Raw genomic sequence first — 14,878 nt, 5'->3', positions numbered from 1 at the left:
TTCATTGCAGTCAGCATCATTATTCCCATTGTGTAAGGAGGTTGAGGGAATTCCTGTATGAAGTTTTCTTCATGAAGTAGAAAACAGATGCTATTTGCTTATAAATCTGTCTCCACTGTCCAGTATTAGACTGAGCTCCTTGAAGGCAGGGCCCATATGTTTTCATTTTTATGTCATCAGCAGAGTTCCTGGCACAAAGTAGAATATAACAGAAAAATGCTAGAGTCAGACCTGGGTTTGATTCCCAACTCTACTGCTTACTTGAGTGTATGATCTGGGATAAGTTGCTTAATCGTACTTCCTCTGTTTCCTCATCAGTAAAATAGAGATAATAATAACACTTCCTTTTTAGGGTTTAGTGAGGGTGAAGATTGCTCAGTACATTGTCAGTACTATGAAGCCACTTGGGAGACTTCTGGCTTTGGTTCATTGTGTTACTTTTATGAATGACATTCTTCTCCTTGGTCTTCTTACCTCTGTAGGAATTTGCAATATATACTATCTCCTACCCCTGACACCCCAACCAAACACCACACATTTTGAAACTATTTTCAGTGTTTGCCTTTCCAACTACTTCATTCCCAGATGAGGTTTTTTTTTTTCATATCTAAATGATAGAAACTAAGTGGGAGGAAGGTCTTTGAACTGTATCATACCCTCATCAATATTCTGTATTGTAAGCAATTATGACTTTGTTAAATTTTTTGCTGCCTTTTCTGATATACATAGTAGAGCTATAAATGGCCTCTAAGCATGACTTTAACTTATCCCACAGGTTTTCATATATAGCATCTTAATTTTCTGTTTTAATATTTTCTAATTTCCAATGTGACTTCATGGATTTATGGGCTATTTCAATAGAGGATTGTTTACAATTTTCTAACATGATAGTTTTCTATTTATCTTTTTGTTATGTATTTCTACCTTATTTGCGTGTTATTGCTGAATATTCCCTGGTTTCAGTCTTTTGTAATTTGTTGAGACTTGCCTTAATTGTAAATTTTTACAAATGTTTTTATTTGTGCCCTAAAAGAAAATGCATTCTGGAGTTTTTGGTTCCATTATTCTATGTCTATACTCTTTAGGTCGTTTGTTAATTATGTTCGTATCTTTTATATCTTTACTTGTTCTGTTTTCGTGTATTTTGCTTATTCAGACTGCTACTGAAATCTGTATTAAAAATTTATGGCATAATTGTAGATGACATTTTTGCCTTATAAATTTTTTTAATTTTAATTTATTTGTAATTCACAAATAATAATTGCATGTATTTATGGGGTACAGTGTGATGTTTTGATACATGTTCACATTGTGAAACAAATCAAGGTAATTAATATATCCATCACCTTGGCCAGGCAAGGTGGCTTACGCCTGTAATCCCAGCACTTTGGGAGGCTGAGGCAGGCAGATTACATGAGGTCAAGAGCTGGAGACCAGCCTGGCCAATGTGGTGAAACCCCTTCTGTACTAAAAATACAGAAATTAGCTGGGCATGGTGGTATACATCTGTAATCCCAGCTATTCAGGAGGCTGAGGCAAAAGGAACACTCAAACCCAGGAGGCAGAGGTTGCAGTGAGCCGAGATTGCGCCGCTGCACTCCAGCGTAGGTGACAGAGCAAGTCTCTCTCTCTCTCTCTCTCTCTCTCTCTCTCTCAATCTCTCTCTCCCCCCTCCCTCTCCCTCTCTCTCCTCCTCTCCCTCTCCCTCTCCCATCTATAAGCTATATCAGCTTTCTTTTGGTTGTGTTTGCATGGTCTATATTTTTCCATTCTTTGATTATTTAATATTTTCCCCTCTGTTAGCTTTATAGTTATACACTTTTTTACTATGCTTTTCTTAAATCAGAAATTACAAAACACATTCTTCACCTATCAAGTCTGCTACTACAGCTTCATGGACAGTGCAAGGAACTGAGAGCACTCTAATAGCTTCATTTACCCTTCTCCAGACTTACATTCTGTAGTTGTATTTTAATTACTGTATTTTAAACTTCATGGGATATTAATGTTACTATTTTATATAGTAAGCATTCATGTAGATTTACCCACACATTTCCCATTTTCCTTGGTTTTTCTTCTTTCTTGTTCCTGAAAGCTTCCATCTGGAGTCATTTTTCTTCTCCCAGTGGATTTTATTCATTGTAGGACTGCTAAGGAATTATTTCCTTCAGTTTTCTTTATTTGAAAATTATTTTTTCCCTTTTTTGAGGACTGTTTTTGCTAGGTATAGAATTTTAGCTCTTGGAGATATCACTCAATTGTCTTCTGGCTTCCAGAATTTATGTTGAGAAGCCAGCTGTCAGTTTAATTGCTTCTGCCAAAGTAATCTAATCACTCTGGTTTTTTTTCCTGGCTACTTTAAAACTTTTCTCTTGATACTCCACCTCACCCCCTGCCACATGTACCCTGGTGTGCATAGGTATGGGGGGATTGTTTGTTTTGGGGTGGGTTTTTTGTTTGTTTGTTTGTTTTTTTATCTTGCTGGGAGTTTTTAAACCTCCTTGATCTGTGACTTTAGATCTTTTGTCACTTTTGGAAAATGCTTAGCTATCATCTTGCTTCTGTGTACTTGCTCTTCTCAGGCTCTGGTTTTTCAGATGTCACATTCTCTCACTGAATCTCCTGTGGCTCTTACCCCTTCTCTCCCACCTTCACCTTTTTTCCTCTCCATGCTTCATTCTGGATATTTTTCAGACTAGTCTTTACTTTTCAAATTCTCTTCTTAGCTCTGTCAAATCTTTAATTAAGCCCACTTGTTGGCTTTTTAATTTCCATAATTGTATATTTTAGTTCTAGATTTTTCATTTAATTATTTTTCTTTCTTTGCTGATATTGTTAGTCTTGTATTTTTCTCTATATATATGATAGATCACTAACTGGACCAATTCTGACCAGTGAGCTATATGACCTGTGAGCTAAGAATGATTTTTACATTTTTAAGGAGTTGTTAAAAAGATGTAAAAAAAAAAAAAAAAAAAAAAAAAAGCATACAACAGAAACTGTATGTGGCCTGTGAAACCTAAAATATATATTCTTTGGCTCTTAACGAAGATGTTTGCCAACCCCTGGTATATATTAAAGACAGTTATTTTAGAGACTGTGTCTGGTAACCCTATTATTTGAAACTTCTTTGTTAGTTTCTGGAGTTTATTCCATACTTTTTATCAGTGCCATCCTGTCTCGTCATATGTGCCTGGTTTTATTGGGCTGAGCAATGGATGTTGTATATGTGAAAAAAAATTTTTTTAATTGAGACCTAGGATGACTTTCTTCCTATAGTGAGGATTTGTGTTTGCTTCCAACAGTTGATTGGAAATGCTAGTAATCCTGTATAACCTTATTTTAGCATCAGGCATTGAGGTCATTCTAAAATTAGCATCAGTTTACTTTTGGGTGACATTTACTCTAGAGTCTAATTTACTCTCCAGGGTCCCAGTGCAAAGATGGCCCTTCCATCCTAGGCCTTGGAATTTAACTTTTGTCCCTTTAGCCAGTGGCTGTCACAGGTACTTCTTGGCCTTTTAGCCTTTTCTTTAGGAATCAGAAAATATTCTTAGGAGAAAAAGTAACGTCAGAGGCCAGATACTGTGTGTGTGTGTATGTATGTATGTACTTCAGGTTTTCTGTTTGTCTTAGTACTAGGATTCGTCTGAATTATCTAACATACCATTATCAGCAGGGGAAGTTCGTGATGTACTTTATGTGTAATTTTTATAATTACATTAACTCCTCTTGAGATAACATAATTCAGACTCAGTCATTCCCTCAGAATACATTTAATATACACTATGTGTGTGTTTCTTTAATGTTTTTCATTAGTAAAGCAATGAGGAACCCTATTTTAAAAATTAAATTGATTTTGATAGCCCTGAATAGCAAGTTGCAGAGAAATCATTTGGAAAATAAATTAGCATACTTCTTATGCAAAACTTTTACTACTCTGGAATGCAGTGGTTTGTTTATTGTCTTAATTTCTGTAGCTTGTATTTTGTGAGATGTCTCTTTTACGGCATGAAATATATTGTACAGCCTGCATACCTGGTAAGAATGCGACCATATTAAAGATGAGGTGGTGGAGTCATTTACTTTTTGTGTTTCTTGTATACCTGTGCCTAGTACAGACATTCATTAAATCATGTTGATTACTAAGAAATCTCTCAGGGGCCAACTAGAAGCTAATTCAATATTAAGTGTAAAGATGCTCACAGAATTTTTGGAATATTTAATGTAATCAACTTGTTACTGGTCTTAAGTCTTGCTGCCAGTAGCTGAACTTGATTCCAAGATATTGCTGTTTTATTCTTGTATCAGTCACCATTTTTTATTAGGAGGGAGGGAGGGAGAGTGAGTGTGTGTGTGAGAGAGAGAGAGAGTGTGTGTGTGTGTGTGTGTGTGTGTGTGTGTGTGTGTGTGTGTGTGTGTGTAGGGTAACATTCCTACCCTTAAATGGACAGGTCTGATATTTTTATTTGGGAGGATAGAAGGGCCAAGTTTTTCCTCTGAAATATCATTAGTAATGGCTTTTGAAAACTGTTCAGTGAGCTTACCATTGTAGGATTGTCTAATAGTTTCAGAGAGTACCATATGGTTCTTATTTCAAAAGATCTTTTTGCTGAAAGTAGAGAACTTGGGTTAAAAAAGAGATTGCACAGTAATGTACATAAAAATTTGTTGAACATGTCGAAACCGCTTAAAAAGGTAAAGCTTGACATTTAGAATAACTTAAATTATTTTTTTTTTCAGCTTCCAGCTGATCTTACCAAGATGCATCTCACAGAAAACCCTCATCCACAGGTGACTCATGTGTCTTCTAGTCAGTCTGGTTGTAGCATTGCCAGTGACTCTGGAAGCAGCAGTTTATCTGATATCTATCAGGTAATACCTTAGGAATTTGTATGCTGCGTATATGGTTTTTTTATTTGCCAGATATTCTGTGATTGTGCCTTAGATGGTTAACATATCTTTTAGAGTATGAAATTCAAGCGTAAGGTCTTTAGAAAAATAAGCTTTATATACTGTGTCAAATTTGTAAGCATGATTAAAGACGTGATCTGTCTTTTGAGAATGATTAAGTATGGTTCAGCAGAGTATGAATCTAGTGTTCTCTTTCATTTATCCAGGTGAATCCATATTAATATCTAATGCTTGTTTTGGTTAAAAAATTAGTTCTTGGAATAACTGAACTTAAACTTATAAAAAGGCTGATTTTTGTTATAATTGACTGTATATGTCTTCTGTAGTTAGAAGTCATGAAGAAAATTAGAGCTGCTTTTCTACCATAAAGCCTCTGTTGTAGTCTAGCGTGAATTAAATAGCAAATTAGTGAGAATATTGATGGACTTTTCCATTTTCTAAAACCCAAGAGGAACAATTTCAAACCTACTGAGCTTTTCAGTGATCATTGTAATATTGGGGAGAAGGTTCTAGGAAGACCCATAAACTGAGAGAATCCTCACATGATCCTGCTGAGATTGAACCCAAGTTAGGTTCAAGCCAGGGTAATAAGTATTTCAGGATCCAGATAGTGGAACTTCTATGATGTCTTCTTTAATGCAAGTTGTAAGGAGCAGTTCCCTGGGTGTGGAGCCCAGTGGTTGATTTTGTCAGAGATCATGAGTATAGAACATAAAACAGTTTAAATAAAATAACAAGAGGATGCATGATATTGAGGGTTGGTTTGTTAAGGAATTCAAATATATTACCTATTTCAGAACTGTCAAATAGAAATTTAATGTGAGCCACGTATTTAATTTTAAATTTTCTAGTAGCCACATTAAAAAATATAAAAGGAAACAGGTAAAATTCATTTTAGTAATATATTTTATTTAGTGCAGTATAACCAAATACTATAATTACAACATGTATTTAATGTTTTAACATTATGCATGAGTTACCTTACATTACTTTTGCATATTAAGTCATCAAAAAACAGAGTTTAATTTAAAGTTACAGCACATCTCAATTTGGACTAGCCATGTTTTAAGTGCCTAATAACCACATACGGCTAGTGGCTACCATATACTAAGAATTGTAGAAATAGTATCATTGTCTGAGGAAAGCATTTTAGACTGGTTCTACAAAGTTACCCAGATTGAGATATTTTAGGAAAATAGCCTTCTTCTATTCAGGGAAGTTTGTAGGCAGATGCAAAATGGAACAAAGACAATACCCATTTTTTGGTTTATATGTGGCTTTTCTCAACAAAGGTAATTGCTGTGGTCATCTATATCTCCCTGTTTGCTTTTTACAGTATACAGAACAAGGAATTTTTCCCTGTTCTCCATTTTATAGTAGAGAGAACAAAGAATTAAAAGAGAGATGAAACAAGTTAATACAATAGCTCTGGCACCACTTAGTACTTGTGTACCTATTGGGCTTCATGCTTTCTGCCCCTCCCCAAAAGAATTATCTTGTGAAAGAAGAATTGTTGCACACCTAAAAATCAAAGTAGACTGTGTTTTTCCAGAAGAAAACACTGAGGAAGATTGACCCTGGATCAGTGAAATTCAGGGATGTGGCTGTAGATTTCTCTCAGGACATGTGAGAATATCTGGACTTTTCTAAGACTATACACAGAGGTTTAGTGTTGAAAAACTATAGGATGGGAGGCCTAGGCGGGCGGATTACCTGAGGTTAGGAGTTCAAGACCAGCATGACCAACATGGTGAAACCCTGTCTCTACGAAAAATTCAAAAATTAGCTGGGCGTGGTGGCACACATCTGTAATCTCAGCTACTTGGGAGGCTGAGTAAGGAGAATTGCTTGAGCCCAGGAGGCGGAGGTTGCAGCAAGCCAAGAGCATGCCACTGCACTCCAGCCTGGCCGACAGAGCAAGACTCTGTCTCAAAAAAGAAGAAAAGACAAGAAAAACTATAAGAACCTGGTATCACTGGGATATCCACATCTCTAAGCCAGGATAGTGCACAGATTAAGATTCAAGGTCACTTGGAAAGACCAATGCTTTATTGTGAACTAGAAGATGGACTGTACACAGTTGGTCCCTACATCTTTGCAAAGATACTACAGGAGCTCCTATAGGAGCATTGCACTTATATTAGCACCTGCAGATTACTCCCCTTTTAGCTGGACAACCTGAGGATGAGACTGGAGTACACCTGCTGGTGTTGGTTGGAGGTGTTCTATTGCAGGACCATGGCATAGCCTATATCAATATGTAGAATATTTCCATCACCTCAGAAAGTATCCATATGACCCTTTGCAGTCAAGTACCTTCTCCTGACCCCTATCCTATGCCCTGGCAACCACCAATCTCTTTTCTGACCTTATAGTTTTGCCTTTTCCAGAAGGTCATATAAATGGAATCATATAGTTTAAAAAAATATGATGCAATGAAACTTATAAATTAACCAATAAAAGTGGGAATGAATTTAGAGAGCATGAAAAGATAAAAGGAATAAAGATAAAATAAATAAGATAAAACTCTAGAACCAAAATAGGAATGAAGAAATTTAAAGAAGAAACTTATAATAATGTTAACATCAAATATATAAAACCTAAGATAAAATTTTTTAAGAGTAGTCAAAGAAGATAAAAATTTTCAAACTCTGCTGCTGGGCACAGTGGCTCAAGCCTGCAGTCCCAGCACTTTGGGAGGCAGAGGTGGGCGGATCACCTGAGGTCGGGAGTTCAAGACCAGCCTGATCAACATGGAGAAACCCTCTCTCTACTAAAAATAAAAAATTAGCTGGGGTGATGGAGCATGCCTGTAATCCCAGCTACTCAGGAGGCTGAGGCAGGAGAATCACTTGAACCCAGGAGGCGGAGGTTGCGGTGACCCAAGATCACGCCATTGCACTCCAGCCTGGGCAACAAGAGTGAAACTCCGTCTCCAAAAAAAAAAAAAATTTCAAACTCTGACATAACAGTTAACTTTAGGACCATAGCCAAAAGATAGAAACAGCATAAACGCCAAAATAAAAAGAAGCCAATAAAGATAAACACAAAAGGAAAAAAATCAAAATCATAAAAATATACACCTACATACTTATATATTTTTTATATCTCATATGTATAAAATCTTATATATCATATCTATGAGATAAGTAGGTATTTTTAACATTTTATTTATATTTCGTTAAATAAATATATATACCTGTATACTTAAATATGTTATACTTGTAGATACAGAATGTAAATCCGAGTTCAAGAACACCAGTTAGTAACAGTGTTTTTCTACTAGTGGTGGGTTTGTGGGTAGTTTTTATTATGTTTCTTAAACGAACATTTTTATTTATTTAACAAATATTAAGGAGGACGTAAATAGATTGTATAGTTAAAAGTTGAAAAAAAAATTGGAAAATATTTAAAGGAGAGTAAAAGGAATAAACACAGAATTATAATAGATTGATAAGATATACCCTCCAAAGTACAAGATTTCTATAATTTTAATCCATGGGTAAGAGAAATGTCTAACTAAATTTTGTGTGTGTGTGTGTGTGTGTGTGTGTGTGTGTGTGTGTGTGTACATGCGCGAATGTTTCCAATCAGATCCTCGGGAATAAACAAGGAGAAGAATTAAATATCAGTACTGGACCCTTGATCTTTCCTTTCACCTTAGGCTGCCTTTAGATTCCCTTTTGGAGCTATGAATATACCCCTTAGTTACAGGTGTACATTGCCAATGTATGTATCTTAGCCTGGGATAGCTGAAGTGATTTGTCTAGTTATTTGAATTTTAGCATTTGAGAGATTTTTTAAGTGAACACCTAGCCTTTAACACCATAAGAAAAGCCTTGTGAAATGATAGAAGTATTTTTAATTTGGACAGTTGAGGGGAAGATATCCTAACAGCAATTTTTTTTTAGTGTTTCTGCTTTTATTCTTCTAGAAATTTAGAAACGTTTCAAGTGAAATCCAGCTTTTTTTGTGGGGCAGAAGACTATATATAGATTAATTTGGGCATTTTTTTCTAACGTGGAGTCTTCTTATCCAGAAAAATGGATGTCTCCCCAATTTTTAAAAATAATTTCAACTTTTATTTTAGATGCAGGGGGGTACATGTGCAGATTTCTTACATAGTATATTGCGTGGTGCTGAGTGTTTGGGGTTCGAATGATCCCATCACCCAGATAGTGAGCATAATACCCATTCGGTGGTTTTTCAGCCCTTGCCCCTCTCTCCCTGCCCTAATAGACCCCAGTGTCTGGTGTTCCTATCTTTAGGTCCATGTGTACCCAATTGTTAGCGCCCACTTATAAGTAAGAACATGCGGGATTTGGTTTTCCTGACAGCAGTTCTTAACAGGAAAACTGTTTACACTGTTTTATATGGCCAAATGTGTGGCTACACTTCTATGCATTTCCTTCTTGAGAGTTTTCATGTCTTCTGGTCTAAAAATAAAAGCCCTTGGCCCTCAAAGAAACTTCAAAATATAGCATGTACTATAGTGTGGAGGGAAAAAAAGGCAAATCAATGATTCCAGTGTGAATGTGTTTCTAATCAGCATAGATTAAAATTTTAAAGTATACATTAAGGTGTAAGAGTGTTCTTAGATAGAATATTTTCTGCATCTTCAAAGAGTATTCAAGAGAATAAGGAGTACTTCTTTCTAGATTCCTTTTTCTATTTATTTCAGTCTTTTCCATGAGCTGGAAAACTGTGAAATATTGACTCTTGAACAAAAGCATGTTGTCTTTTTGTTAACTCATTCTTAAACAACTCCAGACACACATTTATCCACCACCTACCTTTTCAGTTTCTATATAGGCAGTAAGCGTGTTCTTAAAAATCCCAAGACTTCAGTTACCACCTCTATGGCAACATGATTTCCTAATGCACAGCTCGGAGTGCCAATCTCTTCAGAACTCTGGTGCCACGTTTTCACCAGTATGTTCTTTTGTCAACTCAAGTCACCACATGTTCTCTTACACCTTTCTTTAATATTTCTGTTAAGAATATCATCTGAGGCTGGGTTCGGTGGATCACTTGAGGTCAGGAGTTTGAGACCAGCCTGGCTAACATAGCAAAACCCCATCTCTACTAAAAATACAAAAAAAAGTAGCCACGTGCGGTGGCGCATGCACCAGCTACTCAGGAGGCTGAGGCAAGAGAATCGCTTGAACCCAGGAGGCAGAGGTGCAGTGAGCCAAGATCGCACCACTGCACTCCAGCCTGGGTGACAGAGAAAGACTCCGTCACAGAAAAAAAAAAAAAAAAAAAAAAAAAAAAAAAAAAAAAAAAAAAAAAAAAAAAAAAAAAGGATATCATCTGAGTCCTAGTCAAAATCTGTTATCATCTTTTGACTATCATTTTTAAACTCCCACTTGAAATAAATTGCTCTGATTTTTAATTACTCTTGTATTTAAAAAGCTTTAATTCTTCACTGTTATCTAAATTACACTCTTAATTTTAAATTCCAAGCCTTTTACCTCTAACTACAATGTAGTTTTATATTTTACTGTTCCCCCACTTACACATTCTAGATTCTGCCCCATCACATATGTACGTTATTCCCTGAACATGTCTGCCTTTTCCTAGTCTTGTGTTTTAATCATGCTCTTCTACCCGTAGCTTCATGAAGATGACATTTTCATGTTATCTCCCATGTCTTTCCAACAAGAAGAAATGTCTCCTTCCTTGGAATCCCTCAGCAGTTTTTCTCTCGGACATGTCACTTTTTCTCTCTGCTTTTTTTGGTAGTTACTTGTAAACTTGACATTTTTCATCACCAGAGTAAATTTATGGAGTGCAGAGTTGATGTCTTAAATTTGTATCCCATGGTGAGTCAGGCACAGTGTTGGCATTTAGGAAGTACTCTAGAAATTCTTTTTTTGCACTGAATTATATTTGAAAGTAGAAACCAATATTGGCTTCAAGGAAAATGCAGATCTCTGCTAACTAAAACTTTATTATCCAGGGCAAAAGAGACTTGATTTTGCCTGCCTGCCGTGTTGTAGAGGTTATGAAATGGGTCAACCTGGACTGAAAGATTAACTTCATAGAGTTCTAACCCTGACCAGGAAGACCTAAGAACTAAATGGTCCATGAAAAGGTTAAATGAAATACTAAAGATGGGAATACAGAAAAGAGAGGCACTGAAAGTCTAAGGCTTAACACTTGCCCTAAATTTGAAAATGTGGTTTTTGTAAGTTTGTATAACTCTTAGTTCCAACCTATAGTTCTCTTCATTGTAGCTTCATGTTTATCTAGATGGAAACAGGAAAAGGATATCCTCTGGTGGTTTATTTGGGGAAGGCCGAGTCATCAGAAAATCACCTCAGACTGTCTGCCTCACCAAATTATATTTATGTATACAGAGACACATTCATATGTCAGGAAAAGAAAAAAGTTTCATGCTGTCTTAATCCTATCACCAATATATATATTTTTCCTGGACTTAACTCATTTATCATAATTAAGGGTCTGATATGTCCCAGGTGCTAGGATAAATTAATTGAAAGGCTGGGGATGAGTCTTCTGTGTACCCTACCTTCACGAATACGGAGTGTCTTTTGACCCACATATTTCCACTCGTGGTATTATGATATGAGTCTCTAAGGCTTTATTAATTTTTTTTTGGCTTTTTTCTCATCTCTACTTCAGATTGGGTAGCTTTTGTTGCCCTTTCTTCAAATTTATTCTTCTTACAGTTTATATCTCCTTACTGAGATTATCCATTTTTCCTCTAATTGTTTTTCTTCTAAATTCTTGAACTTATTTGTAGTAAATGTTGAAAGTTCTTGTCTCTTACTTTCATTATCTCTATCATTATCGAGTCTCTTTATAGTGGTTTGTTTCCTGTTTATAGGTCACATTTCCCTGCTTCACTTATGTAGTAAGTTTTTATTGTATGCTGAACATTGTGGATATTACGTTGAAAAAAATTCTTACCTAATTATTATAGAATTAAACTTTCTGCCCAGGAACTGCATCTTCAGAAGTATCATGCAGTGACTTCTTGTCCTGTGGTCATAATCATATCTACCTTTCTCTTAAGGACCTGACTTTCCTTTGTTTAATCAAGGAGTTGGTCTTTACATTTTTAAAAATTCATTTTAAGTTTAAAAAAATCCCTTTAAATTTCTTAGCATGTTTTTGAACAGTCTTATTTTTTATTCTTAATTCCTGTTTTATCACCTTATGCTCATGTATACTCTTAATATTTTAATAGTTTAATGTATTTTCTTAACTAATTTTATTCTTTTTATACTACTATGTAAAAAGTAGAGGTATAAGAAAGGTAGTTGTGGTTTTTGGGGGGTTTTGGTTTTGGTTTTTGAGACACGTTCTCACACTGTCACCCAGGCTGGAGTGCAGCAGCAAGATCTCGGCTCACTGCAGCCTCTGCCTCCAAGGCTTAAGCAATCCTCCCACCTCAGCCTCCTGAGTAGCTGGGAGTGCAGGCATGTGCCACCACACCCGGCTAATGCCACCACACCCGGCTAATTTTTGTATTTTTTTGTAGAGACAGGGTTTCTCCGTGTTGCCCAGGCTGGCCTCAAACTCCTAGGCTCAAGCGATCTGCATGCCTCAGCCTCCCAAAGTGCTGAGATTACAGGCAGGAGCCATTGTGCCTGGCTTAGAAAGACAAATTGTAAGGGTAGATTATATTCTTTCCTTTGCAGTTGGTATTAAAAGGTTCCTAAAAAAGTTCTTTTAGTAGCCTTCTCTCAGTCCCAACCCATGACTTCCATTCTTCCTAAAGAGCTATCTCCTTAATTGTCTTTGCTTCTCATGCAGATGATAATTAGCCTTCTCTACTGTCCATATAACTAAATTCCATCTTGCCTTTTTATGTTGTGAGCCATCTATCTTTTTATCCAACATAATCTAAAATATGGGAATGAGACCAGATTGAAATAATCTGGGTCAGGGGATGAAAACCTTAGATTAAGATGAAGACAGAGTGATTTAAAAACCTGAATTTTTAATGCAGATTACACTTAAAAATTGATAAAATAGAAAAGGGATATACTAGGAGTGAGCTCTCCTGCATATTGAGAAATTAAATTGTGTAGAAAATACTGCTTTAGGTTTTTTCCCAGTCGTTTCTTAGATTAAATCAGTGTATATAAATAAGGTTTTTGGAAAGTCTTTTTAGCATGTACACATATTTAAATTTAAAACTACTTGTCTTTAAAAAAGGATTATAACCTGCAAACAAGTTTGTGGTTCTATGTATTATTCAGAAATATACTCCGTTTAAACCCTGTAATTTCATAGCCAGTAAACAACTCAGAGCGTACTAGTCAGTCATGAGATACAGTTGCCCCTATATGATCCTGTCTTAGTCCATTCAGGCTGCTGTAACAAAATACTGTAGACTGGGGGGTAGCTTATAAACACCAGAAATTTATTTCTCACTATTCTTGAGGCTGGAAAGTTTAAAGATCAAGGCACCAGCAAGCAGATTTGGTGTCTGGTAAAAGACCTCTTTCTGATTGTTAGAGGTACCTTCTAACTGTAGCTTCACAGAGTAGAAGGGGAGAATGAGCTCCCTCAGGCTTCTTATATACTAATCCCATTCGTGAGAGTTCTCATGACCTAATCACTTCCCAAAGGCCCCACTTCATAATTCCATCACTCAAAATAAGAATTTTGAGGAGGTACAAACATTCAGACAATCGCAGACCCTTAAGAACTAGCTTGTCTAATTTAAAGATCACAATTTGAGTATTTAGTCTAGATTGTTAAATGACTATTACTTAAAGCTGTGCAGAAATCCAAAGGAAGTATAAGACATGGTCTTAGGAAACAGATCCAGACTCTTCTAGTTGTAGGTGTCAGAGCCTTAACTTGAATTAACAAAAGCCAAAAGGCCAGTGCCTGTGGTCCTAGCTACTAGGGAGGCTGAGGCTACAGTGAGCTGTGATCATACCACTGCACAACTTGGGTGACAGAGTGAAACCCTGTCTTTAAAAAAAAAAAAAAGAAGAAAAAAAATGTAAAGCCAAAAGGTTAGTTTATTGACCACCAGAGAAAGCAGAGGCAACTCTAGCCTCAGGGTACCTGGATGCTTGCAGGTACGTCTGCCCCGTCTGCCTGTTTCTGGTCTTTTGGCTCCGTACGGCTTGCTTATTTTTCCTTGCTTGCTTGCTTTGTGACACTTTCTGTCACAAATGCTCTTTGCAGCACATGCTGTGCTCTTTCTTTCTCTGCCCTGCATGCTCTGTTTCTGTTGCTTTGTTGCTCTGAGTCTTTGTTTGACTCTCTTGTTCAGTGTCCTCCTCCCCATTCCCTTTCCTATTTCCCTGCCTATTGGTTTCATTTTCTTCTGCCACAGGAAGGCGTTTCCATGAGGCTATAGGCTGCCTACTCTCATATTCTTCCAATTTAGCAACCAGTTAAGAAAGGATGCTCTGCTTCCAGATCTAATTGTGTACAGAAATCTAGAGAAAAGCTCTTTCTAACTTAGTTTACATAGCTAGGGAACAGGGCACTGTTTCCCACTGTAATCTCTGGGTTTAAGATGGAGAGGAAAGGTAGTCCTCAAAAGAAGGAAGATCAGCTGGGCATGGTGGCTCACCCTGTAATCCCAGCATTTTGGGAGGCCAAGGTGGGTGGATCACATGAGCCCAGGAGTTCAAGACTAGCCTGGGCAGCATAGCAACCTCCCCCGAGTCTCTACAAATATTTAAAAAATTAGTTGGGTAGGGTGGTGCATACCTGTGTTCCCAGGTATTCAGGGCGTTCAGGAGAGAGGATTTCTTGAGTCCAGGAGGACAAGGTTGCAGTGAGCCGAGATCTGCAGTGCACACCACTACACTCCAGTCTGGGTGACAGTGGGAGAACCTGTCTCAAAAAAAAGAAAAAAAAAAAAAAAAGATGATCTTTTTGGCAGTAAAAAAGGGTAAATGTTCAAAACATGAGATACTTAATGAATTAAGATTCTGTAGTCTTCACTAATATTCATATTTGA

General features: G+C 36.7%; 1 protein-coding gene across 6 annotated transcripts in view; it reads left to right on the top strand.

The window, feature by feature from the left end:
• The window catches only part of RAPGEF6 (Rap guanine nucleotide exchange factor 6), a 211,309-nt gene that overhangs the window by 108,965 nt on the left and 87,466 nt on the right, over nt 1–14,878 (top strand). For all 6 annotated transcript variants that reach the window (NM_016340.6, NM_001164388.2, NM_001164386.2 and 3 more), the window contains exon 7: nt 4,744–4,875. In NM_016340.6, coding sequence (NP_057424.3) covers nt 4,744–4,875 — 132 coding nt within the window. The remainder of the gene's footprint in view (nt 1–4,743; nt 4,876–14,878) is intronic.

The sequence above is a fragment of the Homo sapiens genome, chromosome 5 (assembly GCF_000001405.40).
Source record: "Homo sapiens chromosome 5, GRCh38.p14 Primary Assembly".
NCBI lineage: Eukaryota > Metazoa > Chordata > Mammalia > Primates > Hominidae > Homo > Homo sapiens.
Note: the sequence above shows the minus strand (reverse complement) of the source record. Positions and strands in the feature narration are given on the sequence as shown.